The sequence below is a fragment of the Homo sapiens genome, chromosome 8 (genome assembly GCF_000001405.40).
Source record: "Homo sapiens chromosome 8, GRCh38.p14 Primary Assembly".
Lineage (NCBI taxonomy): Eukaryota > Metazoa > Chordata > Mammalia > Primates > Hominidae > Homo > Homo sapiens.
In genome coordinates, this window is record NC_000008.11 from 23,687,495 (window position 1) to 23,707,794 (window position 20,300).

The 20,300-nt window shown below is 48.7% G+C and overlaps 1 protein-coding gene and 1 long non-coding RNA gene across 2 annotated transcripts in view, besides 1 other annotated feature; one reads left to right on the plus strand and one right to left on the minus strand.

Annotated features, from left to right (window-relative positions):
• LOC107986930 (uncharacterized) overlaps positions 1 to 20,300 on the plus strand; it is a 139,865-nt gene that overhangs the window by 24,417 nt on the left and 95,148 nt on the right. The window lies entirely within an intron of this gene.
• On the minus strand, positions 14,246 to 19,262 carry NKX2-6 (NK2 homeobox 6). The gene is made up of 2 exons (NM_001136271.3): positions 18,831 to 19,262; positions 14,246 to 15,588 (listed from the first exon to the last, which is right to left on the minus strand). Exons 1-2 carry the CDS (start codon positions 19,102 to 19,104, stop codon positions 14,957 to 14,959), a joined length of 906 nt encoding a protein of 301 aa, NP_001129743.2. The 5' UTR covers positions 19,105 to 19,262; the 3' UTR covers positions 14,246 to 14,956.
• Positions 16,982 to 17,881: an enhancer, noted in NCBI's record as "H3K4me1 hESC enhancer chr8:23561989-23562888 (GRCh37/hg19 assembly coordinates)". NCBI's record gives its function as "activates a minimal SCP1, AML or CMV promoter by ChIP-STARR-seq in naive H9 embryonic stem cells {active_cell/tissue: H9 hESC(naive)}" and the evidence as "EXISTENCE:reporter gene assay evidence [ECO:0000049][PMID:30033119]".

Sequence of the window (20,300 nt, forward strand, 5' to 3'; positions counted from 1 at the left end):
ACCAGCTTGAACTTGACTGCAGATGTGAACTTTGGATCCTTTTTTCCTTTTAAGTTATAAATATCTCTTTAGACCCATGATCCCATCCCTTCATTAAAACTGTTTGTGTGTGTGTGTGTGTGTGTGTGTGTGTGTGTGTGTGTGTCTGTGTGTGTGTCTGTATTTTCTTCCGGTCTTTGGCCATCTTCAATGGTAAGATAAATATAATTTTGTATCCTTTTTTCCTCCCAAATTCATATTACACATAAACATTTTAACATTGCTCTATTACATGTTTTAGAAACCATCTAAGAGCTAGGAGGGACCTCAGGATTATCTAAGAAAATGTCTTGCTTTTCTAGGAAGGAGCCTTAAGTTTACAGAGATGACAAGAACTATAACAAAGTTGAGTCCCTAAACCTCTAGGCCCGTGGATGTCTCCACTGCATCACCCTCCATCCTTCCACCCACCCCACCTGCCTCCACTGCTACCCTCCAGGGTAGGAAGTACAACCAGAGCCCATAGAATTGGCCCCTATATGTGTGTTTGAAAATGTATCTGGGGTTTGTTGTAGTCAGGTATGGTAAGACACACAGACCCAGAAGTGACTCTCATGAAGGAAGAAGGTGTTATTTATTTATTTATTTATTTTGAGACAGAGCTTTACTCTTGTTGCCCAGTCTGGAGTGCAATGGAGCAATCTTGGCTCACTGCAACCTTCACCTCCCAGGTTCAAGTGATTCTCCTGCCTCAGCCTCCTGAGTAGCTGAGATTACAGGCACATGCCACCCCACCTAGCTAATTTTTTTGTATTTTTAGTTCCCCATGCTGGCCAGGCTGGTCTCCAACTCCCGACCTCAAATAATCCGTCTGTCTGCCTTGGCCTCCCTAAGTGCTGAGATTACAGGCATAAGCCACCGCACCCAGCCTGGAAGAAAGGTTTATACTCATATACCCTAGAAGCAGGGGCACAGACTGCAGGGCCACTCAGGGAAACACCAGGGTCAGTTGGGACATAGAGGGGACTTTATGGTGGTTTTAATGGAAAGGAATGGGTTAGGCGAGCAGACAGCTACACAGATTTAGGATTGGATAGTTAGTCACAATCCTCAGCTTCCCTGTCCTCCCTCCCCTTCCTTATTGACATTCTCCCCTGCCTCTCCCGACTGGTTTGTCACTGTTCCCACTCGTGTTATGCTCAGTTCTATCAGTCCTAGGCCTTTTTGCAAGCTGCATGTACATTTCCTGTCTCTTGTTTATATTCACTGGTTCAATTTCCACCCAAAAGGCTTTGTAGCCCTCTCCAGCCTTCATTGATGGCTCTGTGGCTCATTTGGGCACATAATCTTATATTGCTTTAGAGTATTTAATCTTTTGATGCTCACCAGTTGTCTCAGTCTGTTTGTGCTGCTGTAACAAAATACCATAGACTAGGTAATTGATCAAGAGCAGACATTTATTTTCTCACAGTTCTGGAGGCTGTGAAGTCCAAGATGAAGGTGCCAGCAGGTTCGGTTGTCTGGTGAGGGCTGCTCTCTGCTTCCAAGGTGGTTCCTTATGTTGAAGGCTCCAGAGGGGAGGAACGCTGTGTCCTCACATGGCAAGAGGCTGAACCCTTTGTAAAGCCACTTTCATAAGAGCCTTAATCCTATTCATGAGGGAGGAGCCCTCATGACCTAATCACCTCTTAAAGCCCCATCTCTTAATACCATCACCTTGGCCATGAAATTTCAATGCCTGAACTTTGGAGGGGACACATTCAAACCATAGCACCAGTTTTCTTGTAAACCTTATTGAGGCCTAGGGTTGTGTTTCAGCTTCTCTTCCTGCCCCACACCAGGACAGGGGAGAGAAGACTGACACCTGTTGAATGCTCACTCTAGGCTCACCACAGTGAGTCTATGGCTCACCATAGACATTCGATAAGCACTTCAACCCACTGGGGACTGTTTTGTGCAGAGAAGGAAGCTCAGACATGAAGGTAACATGCCCAGGTTCTCACTGTTAACCCAGGTTGTCCTGGCTTCAAAGCCCATGCCTTCCCCGTGACCCCATGCACTGGGCAAATAGCAGGTGTTCCATAAACACCTGTCAACCTGGCTGTTTGGAAATGGCTTTGAGAACAGATCAGTCTTTTTGACAGCCTGGGTTTCATTGTTTGGGTTGACACTGGGAAAAGAGAAAGTATGCATCAGTTTCATAGAATGAGGAAGGCAGCCAGGACTGTGGACGACTTCCCGAGGGTTGCAGCGGTCGTCCACGGCTTCTCCAAAATTCCTAGCTTAGTTGACCCTATTTCCTGGCTTACTTCTCTTTTTCTTTTCCCAAGGGAGCCCAATAGCAGGGCCATTGAAGAATGGAACCAGAGGCAAATGACACTGCCCTCAGGCCACTTCCTTTCCTAAGTAGTTCCCCAGCAGCCCCTCCCCACTGGTCTTGCTCTGGGCCCTACATTTTTCCCTGTGGCATTTGGTTAAGATTATTGTCATGTGTTAATATGAAAATGTGATGTGAGTTTGGCGGCACATTAAGTGATTCTCCACCATTTACACAGTGGCATGAATTAGTCTGACCTTTATTTTCCAGCTGGTGGTTGGCAGAGGGCAGAGCTGCAGGTTATGAGAGACCTGGCACAAGAGGGGAGGGTAAAGAGACCAACTGCTGGGGCAGCGCTTACACACATTGAAGATCTTGTTAAAATGTAGATTCTGAGGCCAGTCGTGATGTCTCACACCTGTAATCTCAGCACTTTAGGAGGCTGAGGCAGGTGGATCGCTTGAGATCAGCCTGGGCAACATGGCGATACTCCATCTCTACAAAAAACACAAAAAATTAGCTGGGCGTGGTGGCATATGCCTGTAGTCTCAGCTACTCAGGAGGCTGAGAGGGTAGGATCGCTTGAGCCTGGGAGGCAGAGGTTGCAGTGCAATCACGTCTCTGCACTCCAGCAAAAAAAAAAAAAAAAAAAAGTAGATTCTGCTTCGGTAGATCTGGGAGGACCCTAAGATTGTGCTTCTGAAAAACTCTCAAGTGATGCCTGTGCTACTGGTCCAGCAAACCCTCTCTCTCTTGAGTAGTGAGAGCTGAGGGCTCTGAGTGGCTCAGCCAGGGAGGGAGGGGGGCTTTATGAGGAGGAGGCAGAGGCCACTGTAGGTTCATGCAATGGTCTCCATCGTTCCTCTTGGGAACTCCAGACCTCATGAGTTTCTGTGCTCTTTATCTCTTGCTCATACCCATTCATGCTTCCTATCTCATACCTGCCAAAAGTCCTCTTCCCTTGCATCCCAGAACGCTTAAAAAATATCTGACCTTGCCACTCTGTAACTGTGTGTGCAAGCTCTCCCTGCAGGCCTTTCTGTAAGGCCAAGGCATGAAGGTTTGGGAAACGTTTGCAGCAGATAATAGCTCAACCTCATTACACCCCTTATCAATGCTATGGCCCAAGGGATCACCAGGGGGGATTTACTGGGCAATAGGAATCCAAGAGTATTTTGCTAACAGTGCCCTGGTCACCTTTCCTCACCCCTCCATGGCTGCCGGCTTCTGGAGAGCCCCAGGCTGCAGGGCTGAGTCTGCAGAAGTTTCCCTGCCCTCTCACTGGGTGGCCTTGGTCCTTCCCAGCCTGTTCAACAGCTTAACGAAGACCCTCGCCTGGGAGATACATAGGGTGTTGTTTGTCTAAGGGAGGAGGCTCTGACCTTCCCACCCTGAGCTGCCTGCCAGAGCAATTTGAGACCCTCCCTCTGCCACTCCCTGCCGCATAGTGCCCACCATAAAGTGAAACAGGTTCTTGTAGCCTCCTGGCGCCCCAACATGATGCCTTCCCAGGTGGATGATCATCTGAGAAGGTGATGGAGCCCATTTCCAGGCACGGGGTGGGTGCAGATCCCTGTGGTGAGGGGCTGTAGGCTAGGCTTCTGCTTGGCTCTCCAGAAGATTCTACTGATCCTTGAGAGTGGACAGGACCTGGGGGACTGGAGAGGCTGCCTTACAAAGCAAACGGCTTTTTCCCTGGACTTCTGACTGCGGCTCCTCTGATGGACATTTTCCTGAAAATTATTTGGAAAAGCACAACGGTGGACCACTGGGTGGGGAGGAATTTGCTCAGCCGGGAGTTCCTATTTGGCCTGAGGCAAGTCCCATCCCTGTTGCTCCCAGGAAGGGAGGCAGGCAAGACCCTCCTGGTGTTTTCACAGCTCATAAGGGAAATGGCCACCTCAGGCATGTGGGGAAGGAAGGACAGATGCCCGAGACCACCCTGCAGCAGCGCCCTGATGCCTGAAATGCTTTGGGCATGGACAGAGCCTTTCATCCATTCATATATTTATTCAGGCTCCCTTCCCCTCTCAAGGGGCTGGGGGAGGAAAGAAGGAGATAGGGAACAAGCTGGAAGGCATGGAAGCAGGGAATGGCAGAAAGAGGAGAATGTCCAGGAACAGGAGACATTGCAGCATTCCCATTTAAACATCCACAGAATTGCATGATAAAGGCCTTAGGTATCATTGTATTAGTGGAGAAACTGAGGTTCAGATAATCTAAATGACTCACCAAAAATTACATGTCAGTGACCAAGTCAGAACTTCGACCTATGTCTCTCAATGTGTAGGTCAGTTTTAATTCGATCTCCTAAAAAATAGGATTTTTTTTTACGCTAACATGTTTTAAACACTTAAAAAAGTGGAGGTAATTGCTATAATTTGATTTATCTCATGTACTTTAAAAAAAAGAAACACAATGTCACAGGCACAGTCAAAGCCCCTTTCCAGTGTTTTACTTCTATGACATGGCAATGGAAATGTAAAGGACTTAAAAAAAAATCTCATTCAGATACTCTCCCTTCAAAGCCAGCAGTTAAGCCTGGGCAACATGGTGAAACCTCATCTCTACCAAAAGTACAAAAAAATTAGCCAGGCGTGGTGCTGCATGCCTGTGGTCCCAGCTACTGGGAGAAGGGGGATGTGTGTGGCAGGGAGGCTGAAGTGGGAGGGTTGCTTGAGTCTGGGAAGCAGAGGTTGCAGTGAGATGAGGACATTAATGCATTGTAAAGCATCCCACTGATCTCATAGCCACCAGCATCACCAATTTTATCATTAATATTTGCCACACTGAAAAACCATTGCCAACAGCAGCTATCCCTGGAGCCCTTAATCTATTGATTCAATGTCTCCAGTTCATCCCCAACTGTCAACATCCAAATAGGAAGGTAAAGGGCTTGACCTGAAAAAAGAAACCTGAATCATTGCTCAAAGTCAAATACAAAGGCTTGGAGTGGAGTCCCAAGGAGTTTGGGGGGAATTTCCTCTTTCCCGCAGTGGGAAACTGGAGGCAATGGTGTCCCCTGGTGGGCAGTTTAAGTTCTGCAAGCAATGGCTGCTGGTTGTTCCACAGGTGTTACCTCTAGCACAGATGTTCTTGAAGTTATATGCAACACTCATATGTAATGACTCGTTTGTAGATTCTGAATGCAGACATCCCTGGATAGAGATCAGATCCCCATGGGCATCGCTGAGATCTTAGCCTTCTGAAACATCTGAAGGTGCTTTTTGGGCCAGACACTTTCCCTCCGAGTCACTCCCTCTGAGGCTGGGATGAAAATAGCAGGATCAAAAAAACACCACAATCAGAAGGCAGATGCTGGGTGCTGAATCATTAGCAAATATAGCTGTATGTTTAAGTAGTTAAAGAATAGAAGCAGCAAAGTGTAATGAATGCCAGAAGGCAACAGAATATTAATGGAAAGCAAGTGGACTTTGGAGGCTCAGCTTCTACCTCTACCTTTAGTGATGGTGATTCTGCATAAGTTCCCTAATACTTCTGGTGTTTAGTTTCCTAATTTGGGAGTTTATTGGGCTTCACTGGATTTTAGAATGTAGAGAGTGATTATGGTGATTAAATACTATGAAGCATGTCAAGAACTCAGCACTCGGTATGGGTTTGAACATTCATTATTTTTACCTCCTCTCCTCCTCCAATGGTTTGACTCAACTATATACCGTTATACAAACATTCATGATACTCTCACTGTCTGTATTGCCTTGTTCTGGGCAAGGAAGTGCAAGAAGGGAGAGGTGAATAGACAGCTGACTAGGGGTGGTGAGAATGTGGAGCAGCCAGAGTTTTCAGACACTCCAAGTGGGAATATAAACTAACACAACTCCTCTGGATAAATAGATCTACTAAATCTGGCCATATGCCTATCCCATGACTCAGAATTTCCACACCTAGTATATACCCATCAGAAATGTGCTCATATGTTCACCAGAAGACATGCACAAGAATATTTGGCCAGGTGCCGTGGCTCACGCCTGCAATCCCAGCACTTTGGGAGGCCAAGGTGGGCAGATCACCTGAGGTCGGGAGTTTGAGACTGGCCTGACCAACATGGAGAAGCCCCGTATCCACTAAAAATAAAAAAATAGCCGGGGGTGGTGGTTCATGCCTGTAATCCCAGCTACTCGGGAGGCTGAGGCAGCAGAATCGCTTGAACCCAGGAGGTGGAGGTTGCGGTGAGCCGAGATGGTGCCACTGCACTCCAGCCTGGGCGATAAGAGTGAAACTCTGTCTCAAAAAAAAAAATGTTCATAGCAGCACTAATAAGAATAGCTCCAAATTGGCAACAGCCCAAATGCCCATCCATCATGGAATAGATACATCCATTGTGGCGTAATCAAACAATGAAAACCAAACAGCAATAAGAGTGAATGAACTGTAGCCACCCGCAGCAACATGGATGAAACTCACACACATCATGTTAAGCAAAGGAAACCAGACAAAAAGAGTATAAACCATATGATTCAACTTATGTTTACTTTTGCCTTTTTCAAAAACAGGCAAAATTAATGTATGTTGTTAAAAGTCAAGATAGTAGTTTCCTTTGGGCGGTGCTGACCATAAAAAGAGTACAAGAGAGTTTCTGTGGGGGAGGATATTAATGTTCTGTTTCATGATCTGGGTGCTGATTATATGGGAAGTTCACTTTATTAAATTTTATCTGGCTATACATTTATTATTTATACAATTTTCTCTACATATGCTATACTTCAATAAAAATGTATATACATAAAGAAAATTGGCTAAAACTGATTTCTTCAATTAAGTGGCTTATGGTTTTACTAGAGAGCAATTAGGGAAACAGCCAACTGCAATCCAAGGGTGAACTATGTGCTACAACAGGGAACAAACCATGAGCTGTGACAGCTCGGAGCACCCTGACCAGAGTCCTTGACTGGGCAACTCAGAGGACTTCCTTAGGGGTGGCATTGAACTGGGCATGAAAGACCAAAAGAAGAAGACATGCCTTATGTGTTTTGGAGAGCCAGAGGTTTGCTGACTGCAAGCAGAAAACATGCAGAACAATTTGGCAGGGAATGAGACTGGAAATGTAGGGAAGAGAAAGATTATTGAAACTTGTGTGTCTGGTTGAAGAATGCAGACTACATTTGAAAGTCTTTTCATCAGGAAACATAACTTTTAAAAAATCCTGTAGAAGCATGAGGAGTGGCTTGGAGAGAAAAAGGAATGGCTTGGCATCCAGGGATGCCAGTTAGGAGAAATTGCGCATGGTCAGGTGGGAGATAGTAACCTGGGGACCTAGCCTTCTTCTATCTTGTTGCTCTCTTATAATCTAACATAGCTGCTACTGCTCTCACCATTTCATCTGTATTCCAGCCAGCAGCAGGAAGAGAAGGAAAGTGGAGCCTGTGTCGTGGAGAGTGCCCCCCTCACATCTGCTTACATCCTTTTGGCTAGGACGTAATTATTTGGCTACCCCTCACTGCAGAAAGAATCAGGGAAATATAATCCTTAGCTGGGAGACTGTGTGCTTAACTAAAACTCTGGGGTTCAATTACTAAAGAGGAAAGAGGGAAAATGGACATTGGATGACAGCCAGGTTGCCTCTCATCATAAGCATCTTTTGGACAGGAATCATAATGCAGATATTCAATTAATTGAATGAATGATTGACCACAGTCAGAATAAATAGTTCCCTTCCGTGTGCTCCCATGCGATGTTTATAATGCACCTCTTCTAGTTTTCCATGTGGTATAATTAGCTGTAGAGGTGATGTTTCACCTTCCAGTTTATAATCTTCTTGAGAATAGCACTAAACGTTCTTTGCATCCATGGGTCTCTCTTGCTGTCTATGCTCCCTCTTCTCAGTGCATAGAAGAGTACTTTGCCCTAAGTAATAGTTCTCTTGTAAATATTTTTTAATGATACTGATCTTATATTCACCCACAGTGCTTTTTTTGTTATACTTGCTAATTAAAGTTAAGTTGATCTACAGAAGAATGGTTGGAAGAAGGAAACAAAGAACTTCCTTTTTCTCCATAGCCATAAATCCTGGCTGACAGAAATTCTTAGGGTCCTTGTTATCAGCGGTCAGACAATCCCTGCCAAGAGCTGGGTCCCTATCCGCACAGAGAAGGGATTTCTTCCAGAGGATCTGACTGCTCAGGAGCCAGCTAAGAGCCTGAATGTTTAATGAAGACTTTGTGAGTTCATACAAAAAGGCCAACTAGCAGCCATTCACTCATTTGATCAATCAACAAATGGTATGGGGCCCCTCCACTATGCTGGGCACAGGGCAAGCTGGAAATACATAGGGCAGATTGACTGCTTAAAAAGAACAAACAACTGATTGTTTAAAAAGGACAACAAATATGGAGAGTCACTGAATTGTCGTGGAGACATCGGGGGTACTCCAGGATCTCATGCCGGAGGCACCTGACCCAACTGGGGCATTAAGACAGGCTCTCTACCAGGAATGTCCAGGCGAGACACCAGAGGGCTCTGCGATGGCCTGGATACGGGAGCTGTGCAAGGAAAAGATCCCCTTTGGACCACTGAAGTCCTCACTTAGGATTTCAATCCTGCGCCCTCAAATTTCAGGCATTTAAACTGGACTGGCGATGGGAGTAAGCAGGAGTCACTGTCGCATTAATGGGAAGGAGGCAGACTTAACTGAGGCCAGCTTACAAGGACCGTCCCACAGGGAGAGAGTCCAAAGCACTCTGAGGTTTGTGCTCAGGGCTGCTGGGCATATCTTTGCTTTTCTTACAGTGGAATCTGGACTATGTCACTAAGACCACATCTTTCGTTTGGATTGTGTGGGGGTTGCTAGACAGTCTAAACAGAGGGTCAGGGAGGAAGGCAGATGGACTTCCCAGGAAGCCCTCTCCCCACTGTGGGGGGAGGTGGAACTGAGGAGGAGAAACAGTCAGGGGAATGCTCCCCACTCTGAAGAGCTGGCCATTTAAAAGCTTGAATCAGTGTCCTCAGGGCTTCAAGGCACAGAGGAAAATGTGGACTGAACCAGGCAAGGGGAATGCAGAAGCCAGGGTCTTCGCACGTTGTTTACCCACAGGCATCGGAAGATGCAGTTGTATCTCTCCCTTCCCTCCCCACCCTTTCTGGCATCTTGCTTCATAGCTCTCCCCTCTTCATGCTTTCCAAAGGCCTCCTACCTCTCATGCATTTTTCACTCAGCACAGAAAGAAAGTGTCACTCAATAGTCCCGTGATTTGTATGAAGACAAGAATGCCTTGTGGAGTATTCAGTGGAAGGAACCGAGGGGTGAAAGGACAGGGAGCCCAGGGTCTATTCCCAGTTCCATCACTAACTCACAGTGTTGCTGTCACCTTTCTGACCCTTAGACTCTGACTCTGGATGGGAGTAGTAATATATTCTGCCTTGTATGGATGGTAAGTACAGAATAAAATCATACCATAGTTCAAAGGATATGCCAATGCAAGGCTGTTATTCGTTATATAAAATATAAATCTATCAGAGGATGGATGCTTGCCAGCAAGTCACAAAAGTGCACGACAGCCCAGGACATATTCCAGCTATGGAATCCAGCTGTACCTGTGAGACAGGGTACCACTAACAGAAATCTGTTACTATCTGCATCTGGAAACTCCCTACATTTTCAATAAATACATACATTGAGGTATAGGCATTTAATGGAACGCAGAGTAGCAATGAAAAGGAGCTAACAGAAGCTGTACACAACAGCATGAACAAATCTCACAAACATCAAATTAAATAAAAGAAGCAAGTCATGAAAGAATACATACACAGCTGGGTGCAGTCACTCCTGCCTGTAATCCCAGCACTTTGGGAGGCTGAGGCAGGAGGATCGCTTGATGCCAGGAGTTCCAGATCAGCCTGGGCGATATAGCCAGTCTCTGTCTCTAAAAAAAAATTTAATTTTTCAAAAATTAGTCAGGTGCAGTGGTGTGTGCCTGTAGTCCCAGGTACCTGGGAGACTGAGGCAGGAAGATCTCTTGAGCCCAGGAGTTCAAGGCTGTAGTGAGCTATGATTATACCACTGTACTCCAACCAGAGTGAGATCCTGTCTCAAATAAAAAAAAAGGAAAAAGGAAAAAGGATATATGTAGTATGATTCTACATATAGAACATTCAAAATCCAGCAAAATTAAACCACATTTGTTAAGAGATGTGTCCATATGGGTAAATACAAAAAGAGAAGACTGGTAAATCCATAAAGAGAAGCCTGTTCATTATTTATTACTATTAAAGAGAAGTCACAGTAGCTGGTACCTCTTTGAGAGGAGGAGGGGGAAAGGGTTGGCATTCTAGGAGGGGTGTGGGAAGAAGGGCTGCTAGGGAGCTGGCATCCCATGTTTCTTGCTTTGAGTGGGACTTCCATCTGTGCTCACTTTACAGGTATTCTTTAAACTGTACATATGTTTTATGTAGTCTTCTGGGTCTATGATCTATCTCATAATCTTAAAAAATTAAAGGCATCTGAAATCAATAGGGAGCCACCCCAAATTAGCATAGTAGCCTCAGAGATCCATCTCCTCAATTGTATAGGTGCAGAGAATGAAGTCCAGAGAGGTTAGGAGGCTTACTCAAGGTCACAGAGCATGTTCTTAGTGGAACTGGGACTAGAATGAAAGGACTCCAAACTCAGGTTCCTCTACCTCCTCTATGTCTCTGGACTCTTCATTAGGGGAAGGGAAGGGAAGGGAGGAGCACAGCTTTTAAGCCTGAGAATTCCCTCGTTTTGTGAAAAAGAAAAAGGGCCAGTTGGCGAGCCAATAAAATAATAAAGAGCTGGCAGAAACATTGAGGGTTGTAAACACTTTTCAAATGGAATTTTAAAAGATTTAAATATGCCTTCCTCAAATCATAATAATGATTTCATTTATCATAATAATGACAACATTATGAAAAATAAATACCAGAAATCTGGCAAGTCTGTGATCTAGAATTAGACTCCATCTAACTTGCAGATGGTATCAGGATGGAGCTGGCTTGGAGTGGGGCTGGGATGGGAAAGGAAAGACAGGGAGCCAGGAAGTCTGCAACTTTATTGACTTATCCACCTGGCCTAGGTGAGACCCCTAGCCCTGGGACAGTCAGGAAAGGAACCTCTGCTATCTCTCTGAGAGCTTTTTTGTTTTGTTTAGAGGTCAATTACTTCCCATTTGGGGAACTTGTGAACATTAAGAGGTGACCGGAGTGAATGATGGAGATAAGAGGCTGATTGCTTACAGAGCGGCTCCCTGGTAAAAGCTCTGCAGAGGATAAGCAGTTGTCGGTAAGAGACACACAAAAAGGGGCAGCTTTCAGTGCAGAGGAGAGATTACGGAGACAGAAGACAGGCAGCTGGGGGTGGGCTTGATGAGCTGGGAGAGTGATGCGTTTTAAAGTGATCTTGACAGGCAGAGAGTGGGGAGATGGGGGAAGAGAATTTTTCCTTCACTCTCCTTTCCTTTAGGAATGAAATCTTTGCTGTCATGTGAATCTCAAACTTCCTTGCTGTGGTCTGAAGGAAAAGCCACGTGGATTGCACATGGACAAGGTTTTTGTTATATTTTTTTTTTTTTTTTTGCCAGCCAGATATAGATGCCCCAGCAATCTAGGGAGCATAACAAAAAATGTGGCAGGCAAATGGAGCATCTAAAGGATCTTGGGTGTGCATGTAACTGACACCCCTTCCCACCTCCCAAACCCCTTCAGCCAACCGAGTGCAGTTTACAAAGTCCCAGAAGCTAACTTGAATTGTATCTCAAACTACTATAAAATATAGCTCTGGCTTTGGCATATACCCATGTCTTTTCTCCATTCCAAAGTCCTAGAGCTTTCCCAGAACCTCTCCCAGTAAACAGTGTCATTCCCCTGCTAATCACCAGGATTAACCCCCATCCTCCATGTAGCCTTCTCTAAGCACCCCAGCTTGGGCTGGATTTTCTTTCTCTCTAGAGTGAGCTTAATGTCTGTCCTATTTGACATGCAGCATATACCACCTTGTATTTTTAGACACCTTCCTCATGTTGGTCTTTGCTTTCCCAATTAGAAAATACATTCCTTAAGGGTGGCAGCCAAATCTTATTTTTTTCTTGTGTCCCTAGCAGGAATGTTCAGCAATGCTTGAGTTCCTGATGATTAAACTGAGCCCCTTTCTTTCCCCCTTCACTGTGAGCCTTGACCCAACCATCCCTGATCTTCCTGTACCTCTTCCTGCGGTCACAAAGGTGTAGAGAAGGCATGGGAGTCTTTCACTTGCCCTAACTCTGGAGACAAGGTTATTCAAAACATCACATATCTAGTAACTGCTTCTTCTGCTACTATTCTGTGTTAGAAGAGGGTGAGAGGATGAAGGAAATAACATTGATTAATTTCCTACTCTGTGCCAAGTACTTCTCAATCCATACTACAGTGACCTATATTTCTGGGGTAGGGAATTTACCCGGAGGATTTTAAACAAATTAACATATAGCATTTTAGAATCTGATAATAGAAAAGTTTAATAAACCTCACTTAACTATTGTGGGCTGGGCAGATTATATATAACTCAGTGGCAGCGTTGGACTGCAGCTCACCTGTCATGGGTCTAAGGCTGGTGTCCAAGGGTGAAACCTCTCCTCTTGTAAGGAATGACCTCCCAAGTGAAAGGAGAGTGGTGGCACTCTATGACAATTCTCTCATGGTGGAGACTTTCATTGTAATCTCCACCTTTTTTCTCAGTTTTGTTGACCAAGTTGACTCACCAATATTCCCAAATTTAAAATAGGCATATCCACTTTTTAATCCCAGGGCACAACACTATAATTGGAAGATACTGTGAAGTGTTTCTGAACACACTTTTATTGGCAGTGAACATGGAGAAATAAGGGCTGGGCTTGGCTCGGTGACTCACACCTGTAATCCCAACACTTTGAGAAGCTGAGGCGGGAGGATCGCTTGAGCCAGCCTGGGCATCACAGGGAGACCTTCTCTATATACAAAATTTAAAAAATTAGCTGGGTGTGGTGGCATGCACCTATAGTCCCAGCTGCTTGAAAGGCTGAGGTGGGAAGATGGTTCAAGCTTGGGAGGTGTAAGCTACAGTGAGCTAGGATTGGACCATGCCATTACACTCCAGCCTGGGCAATACAGCAGGCTCAATAAATAAATAAATACCCCAGCCCAATAAATAAATAAATAAATAAACAACAACAAAAAAGAAATAAAAGAGAGAAGTGGCAAAAATCCAAAGGAGAGAAAATGTAAGAAAATGATAGTAAAAAAATTAACCACTACTTTTTTTTTTAAGCTGAAACGTATACACTCTAAGGGATGAAAGCTATCAACAGTCAGGTATAGTTTACATACCCTTAAGCAGTCTGCTTCTCACTTTAGTAAAACAACCAGGCCATATTAGAAATGAGAAAATTCAGGGGTAGTACATTTGAATTAAATATGGGAATTTATCAAATATGAGAATTTAACGTTCAAGAAGTCAGTAGTCCTGCGGGATGAATAATTAGAATTTTCATTATCTAAAAATGCAATCCAAGGGGAGAAAAAAAAGCCATGTTTTCCTACTAAATTTTCTATAATATCTGTCTTGGCAAACACACGTTTTCTATTTGATCCCATGTCCCTATGAGTAAAATGAGTTTGTTTTCATTCTTGAATTTGCATGACCTCAGATACGTTAGGGGTGAGATGTCAAAATGTCACAATTTTAGAAAGCCTAAAGGTCAGGCTTTCTACCCATCTTTTTAGGACTTTGGGGCACTTGATCTTTTCCTGGCTCAAAACTTAGAAACTGCTGATGCTCCAAAGAAAACCCACAAAGAGGGCGAGAGGAGTGTTAGGGAAGAAATTAGGAAACCTACCTCCAAGACTGAATTGATTTTGTTCTCCTAGCACTTCTGGGCTTCATTTTTACTTTAACTCGAAATTGTTTCAAGGTAATGGTGAATATATGTTCTAATGGCCTACACACACGCAACCACATGCACACCTATTTAGTATATTTATTGGAGGTGCTGTGCTGTACAAAGAGATAAAATGCACAACAGTGAAAGGGACCAGAATGTAGAGCCTACTTCCAGGAGAGCAGTCGTGGCCAGAAAAGAGTGCTCCTCTGGATTAACGGAGTCCCCTGGGGCGCGGCCTTATGGGGATGTTTAAGTCCCAAAGGAAGAGGCTCAAAGCAGGTTACTCTTCGTGAACTTCCCGGATCCTCAAGTTCCCAGCTCTTCAGCCCCCTTCCCGCCCTCCCGTCCTCTTCTCTTTCTTCCCCAACAGCTGTCATTAATTGGAGGATGGTAGGCCCGCTAGATCACCATCTCCATTCACCGCCGATGCCCCGGGGCTGCTGCGTACAGATGCAAGAGCCTCTCGGGCCTCTGGGGTTGAAGCCCCAAAAGTCACGCGCCTTAGTACTGCTCCCACACCCCAAACTGCCAGCCAGCCTTGGTGTTCTTCAGTCCCTGTGTTGCTTGGTGGGTGACCGGTGGAGGGGTCTTCTTTTGGGGGAAGAACGTCCCAGGCGGGGCCTTTAACTGGGTGACTGTGGTGCAGATCGCAGTTTCAGAGATCCCTCCGGAAAGAAGCGCCGTTGGGTAGCAGCTTCCTTCCAGCGCCGCGTCCCCTCCTTGTCACGACCTGCGGGCGGAGGGGAAGGGAACGAGCATCTGGCCCTGGTTGGCAGAGTCAAGCCGAGGAGCCTCACCAGGCCCTGACACCCTGCAGCGTGGCTGCCAGATGGCCCTGCGGGGTGGCATTCTGGCCACCGTGTCCGAAGCCCGCGCTGGCCAGTGGTGTGTGTGGCGCAGGACCCGAGGGCGCGCCCGCGTAGCAGGTGCCGTAGCCTGCGCCGTAGGGTGCTCCGCTGTAGCCTCCGTAGCAAGAGTAGGGCGACACTGCTGCACTGTAGGGGCTGGGGAAGGCAGGTGCGCCGGGCCCGGGGCCCAGGCAGGGCTTGCCATCGCGCACCAGGACGGGCACAGCTACTCGGCGCGGCGTTAGAGGGTGGCCAGCCAGTTCCAGCGACTTGTCCTGGCGCTGTCTCTTGCATTTGTAGCGTCGGTTCTGGAACCAGATCTTGACCTGCGTGGACGTGAGCTGCAGCGCGCTGGCCAGGTGCTCGCGCTCGGGCGCTGACAGGTACCGCTGCTGCTTGAAGCGCCGCTCCAGGGCCAGCACCTGCGCCTGCGAAAAGAGCACGCGCGGCTTCCGTCGTTGCCGCGCCTTGGGCTGCTCCGAGCGGCCACCCCGCACGCTGTCGCCGCTGTTGCCAACGCCGCGCTCTGGCACCCTGGTCCCGCCGCCGAGGGGCGAGGCCGCGTTCAGGCCGGGCTCTAAAAGCACAGGAAGGGACACATCAGCGCCCAGCCTAAGGCTCACCTGAGCGGTTCCTACTTAGTTTTCAAGACTTTCCTCTCCCTGGCAGCCTTCACTCTGCGCAGGCTCCTCCTCCCTCCTACTGCCCCCGAACCCTGTCCCAGGACGAACCCTGTCCCAGGACTGTCTCCATGTTTTTTCCCTCCAAGCTCTGTCACCTTTATATGTTACTGCTGGAACATAAATTGTGACAACCTATGGTCCCTCGTGTGTGCGTCCTTTTCCTAAAGGTAGACTCTAGATAAAGAGTTAAGGCAGCTCCATTTGCTTCTTAGAATGTGTGTGCATGGGCCGGGCGCAGTGGCTCATGCCTGTAATCCCAGCACTTTGGGAGGCCGAGACGGGCGGATCACGAGGTCAGGAGATCGAGACCATCCTGGCTAACACGATGAAACCCCGTCTCTACTAAAAATACAAAAAATTAGCCGGGCGAGGTGGCATGTGCCTGTAGTCCCAGCTACTCGGGAGGCTGAGGCAGGAGAATGGCGTGAACCCGGGAGGCGGAGCTTGCAGTGAGCCGAGATCGTGCCACTGCACTCCAGCCTGGGTGACAGAGCGAGACTCCGTCTCAAAAAACAAACAAACAAAAAACAAACAAACAAAAAAAAAACTGTGTGTGCATGGTAAACCTTCGCTGTGAGGAACAAGTGTGAGTGGAGGTGTCTATCAGATTGAGGAGACTTTGGACCCTCCTTGGAAGTAGAGAAAGAAGGAGAAGAAAGAGGAAGAGGAAGAGGAGGAGGAAGAGGAGGAGGAGAAGAAGAAGAAGGAAAGGAAGGAAAAACAGAGAGAAGCCCGGGTGTCAAGAAGGCGCAAACTCGGTGACAGGCTCTCAGGAGGCTCCTGTCTGCCTCATTTTCCTTCGCAGCCCCAAGCGCACTGCAGGGAACTTGGCTGTAAGTCCAGGAGCGGGAGCCTTGAGTGTCTCCTACCTTCACCCAACTTTTGTGCACACTCTTGTCTTTTTGACGCAGCGCTCCACCAACACCAGGGATGCATCCCAGCTTTCTTGGATGTGATGCTTTGTAATCCAAATTAACAATATATGATGAAAACAAAATATTTATTGGCTCCTGACTTTTGGCTCAGAAACTGAGGTTCTCTTTGAGAGATACATAAAGTTGAGGTCCACATTTGGCTTCTTAAAAAGTAGCCTCTCCCTCCTTTGGGGTCTTTCTGGCAAGCAGGTGGTGTGGGCTTCACCCTGAAGTCTTCCTTTCACCCAGGGCGACCCCTACAGCTGAGACTGTGCCCACCAAGATGCAGCGTTTTCCTCCCTTCTCACTTCTCTCCTGTCTGGGCTTAAACCCCGTTTTACCCCAAGGGTGGATAGAAGGGAAATGCTGAGTTTTCATGGGATCTCACGCCAGGAGAAAATCAGGAGCATGGAAGGGGTGCAAGTTCATGGCAAGACGGGACAGGACTCTAAATGAGCCAGTGCGATTGGAACCAGACTCCTAATACCCAAGGCACTGGCACAATCTCCTGGAGGGGGATGGAGCTGTTTGGTATGTAAAGTTTGAGGACAGAACAACTTCCTTCAGAGACGTCTGTGCTCAGATAAACTGAGGCCATCTCCACTTGCAAAGAGGAAAAATTCTGAGGAGGGTTTGTTTTCTTAGCGCATCGAAAGGTAACAACTGACCTTCAGCCAGGCTGCAGAGCAAGGAGGACCCCATTTCAAAGTCACAGATCATGCAGGCCCTGGGGCTGCACAGCACCGCAGGGTGGGCCAGCACCCTGCGCCCTTCTGTTCACAATCCTGGAGTTCTTGAGGGCAAGGTGGTTAGCTGCGATGGAGGAAGGCATGAAGCCCACCGAAGGTGTCTTCCCTGTCCGGATCGCTACCGCGGCCTTGGGCTCAGTTCCTGGAGCCGGCCTCGGGTCCGGCCTCGGGTCCCTCCTCGGCGGCGTCCACTGCTGCCGCAGAAGAGACGCTCCCAGGATTTGGTTTCCAGTGGGAGAAGGAAGGCGCCGCAAATACCATCGGCTGCGAGGCGACTGTGGTGGTCGAAGGAACGTGATCCTTTGTCAGCTCAGCGGAGCCGAAGTGATCGCCGAGTTGGCTGAGCAGCGCCGAGGGAGTTTAGAATCCGCTGCAGAAAACCTACCAGCTTCTTCGCGGACACAGCAGGTAATGTTCTTAGGCTTCTGGAGTTAGTGAGTAGCCGGCCTGCAGGCCGGTAAATAACTCCGATCTAGCCCCTTGGTTTATTTCTTTCGTTCGCGCCTTGAATGGAGGCGCCATGGCACAGTCTGGCAGAGGAGGCCTGCCCTGGCGGGCGCTACTCAGGGCCCCTGCGTTGAGAATGCCGAGTGAGGTGCTGAGGTTTGGAGAGAAAAAGGTGGCGTTTTCATCCCTTGGAATATCGGGCCTCTCCAGCTGAAGCCTCCGGATCGACACAACACAACTCCCGGATCGACGCAACACAACTCCCCGCCAGCCCCTTCCCTTCCAGCGGGCTGGACACAGGTGCGTGGGCCTCGCAGCCCGGCGCGCACGGTTGCGCCTTTGGATACCTGCGACAGGACTCGGCCAGAACCGTGTCCCAGGGCAGAGAAAACCCTGGCAACCTTTAACGTTCTCCCTGACGCGGAGAATCCTGCGCCAACGGGGCCTTCCACTTCGGGAGACTCAATCGCCACCCGGTCCCCAACTTTCGTCTTCCAGAAGAAAAATCCATGAGGAGGAATGGGGGGGTCCCCCGACCAGACCAGCAAGAAAGGGCCCAGTTAGGAGTGACCTCAGCGCCACGAGGGTTCCACTGCTTTGATGGCCACACGCTTTTGCAAACGGTTTGGGGGTGGAGAGACACCAGGTGATGGTAGGGAAGGGCGGTGGTGACTGGCACGGCTAAGACACTGCGGAGGGTTTCGCTGTGGAGATGAGAAGGTGGAGGTTCTGGGCACTGTGGCTGCGAGTGTGAGCGATGCGTTTGTGGGAATCAGAGGAGCGGATTTGGGAAAAGTGAATCCTTGAGATTCAGGGCCTTACTTTCGTTAGGGGTGTGTGAAGCACACTGGGTGTCAGGAGAGGATGGGAATGGGATTCGAGAGGCCTTTTTTTGGACTCCTCGAGAGAAAATGGAGAGAGTCTCGAACCCAGGAGATAGGAGGCGTATTTTCCCCATGCACCCATGGATCACGCCCCCGCCCCCACATTCCCCCCGTAGGAGGCAAGACCTGAGCGCTTACTCACGTGGCTCCCCCATCCGTTCCGCGTCCATCTCCAAGACTGCCTCACAGGGACCCCCAGGAGGCTCCGAACCATCCAGCTTTCTGTCACCGCCGCCGCCACCAGCGTTGTGAACCTCTGACCCTCGCGGCTCTGCGTCCATTCTCAGGTACTGAAAGTTTTCCGGGCTCTTCCGCACCCGCGGATGTGGCGAAGCCGCGGGGCAGCTCCGCTCGCGCTCCAGTCGCAGGATGTCCTTGACCGAGAAGGGGGTGGAGGTGACGGGGCTCAGCAGCATCCCGAAGGCGGATGGGGCGGGGCCGAGGAGGTCCGGGTGAGGAGCGGCACCCTGAACTTCCCGTCTTGTCGCTGCAGGCCCCGCAGACAGACCCAAGCTCTGGGACAGACGCCCAGCGTCCCAGACAGCGCCTTCCTCTGGGCCATGCTGGTAGGCCCGGGTCCAGGGCCGGGTGACGAGACCGTAGCCCCCCATTGGTTCTCGCAGAAACCACGTGCTAGCTCTGCACCTTCCTCCCCCAGCGCTTTCTTCCCGCGCCCGTCGAATCCTCTCCAGTCCCCAGTCGCCTTCCTGGGAGGTTTGGTTCGTATTGACGGTTCTCAAAGCAAAGAAAACGTGGAGAGACAGTGCTGCGCGCGGCTTGGATCTCCGTCAATACGGTACTAGCGGGAGCTTCCGAGGTCAACCTAGGGTCCACGGGGACCCTCCTAGTGGACATGCGGGGATTGGAGGTGGAGTCCTTGCTGTGCAACCCGATCCGGTCCATCCAGCCTGGTCTTAGCTCAACTCTGCATTCTTATGGCGGAGGAAAGCTAAGATAGAGACAGCTGGGACCCGCGGAATTTGAGGCGCGCGCTGGGATCTTACGTGCGCAGAGGCCGGACCGCAGAGTAGAAGTGAGTCTTGACCCACCAGGGCCTATATTGAGATGGAAACCTCTCTCTTTGAACAGAATCCAGGTCTGCGGAGTCCCGACCCGCCACTTCCTAGGAGCAGCTTCTCAGCCCCAGGACCGAGGAATGGGTGTGGGGGCTACATGTGGGGAGCCCTCGACCTCTTAAAGGGCTCCGCGAATGGTGGGGGAGACTGGAAGGCAATCTCTGCGGCCCGCGCAAAGTGGTCAGAGGCGGGAGTGGGGGTGGGGGGGGGTGGGCTTCCGTCGCCCTTGGCGTCCCCACGTTCTTTTTCTTCCTCTCCTTTATCCTCCTTAAAGCGGATTGCCTGGAGCGTGCCAGCTTGTGTGCGCGTATAAATGCGGCGCCCGCCGAAGGGCTGGGAAGATTTGACTCGCATTAGATCTCCAGAAAAGGCCCTTGGTTACGGCGGGCACCGAGTAAATGGCGCAGTGTGGCACAAAGGTTACCAACACGGAGATAGCGCCAACAGATCCAGCCCCTGCTGTTACTACTCCTGGATCAGGGAAACGTGATTTGGTGTCAGCTGTTCCAGCACTGAATCGAAGAGGGTTTAAAAAT

Excerpts from the sequence above, each read along its gene's own strand:
- NKX2-6 (NM_001136271.3), bottom strand. The coding sequence starts at position 19,104 with ATGCTGCTGAGCCCCGTCACCTCCACCCCCTTCTCGGTCAAGGACATC. Across the intron at positions 15,589-18,830 it reads GGAACGGATGGGGGAGCCAC|AGCCCGGCCTGAACGCGGCC; the intron begins GTGAGTAAGCGC and ends CTGTGCTTTTAG.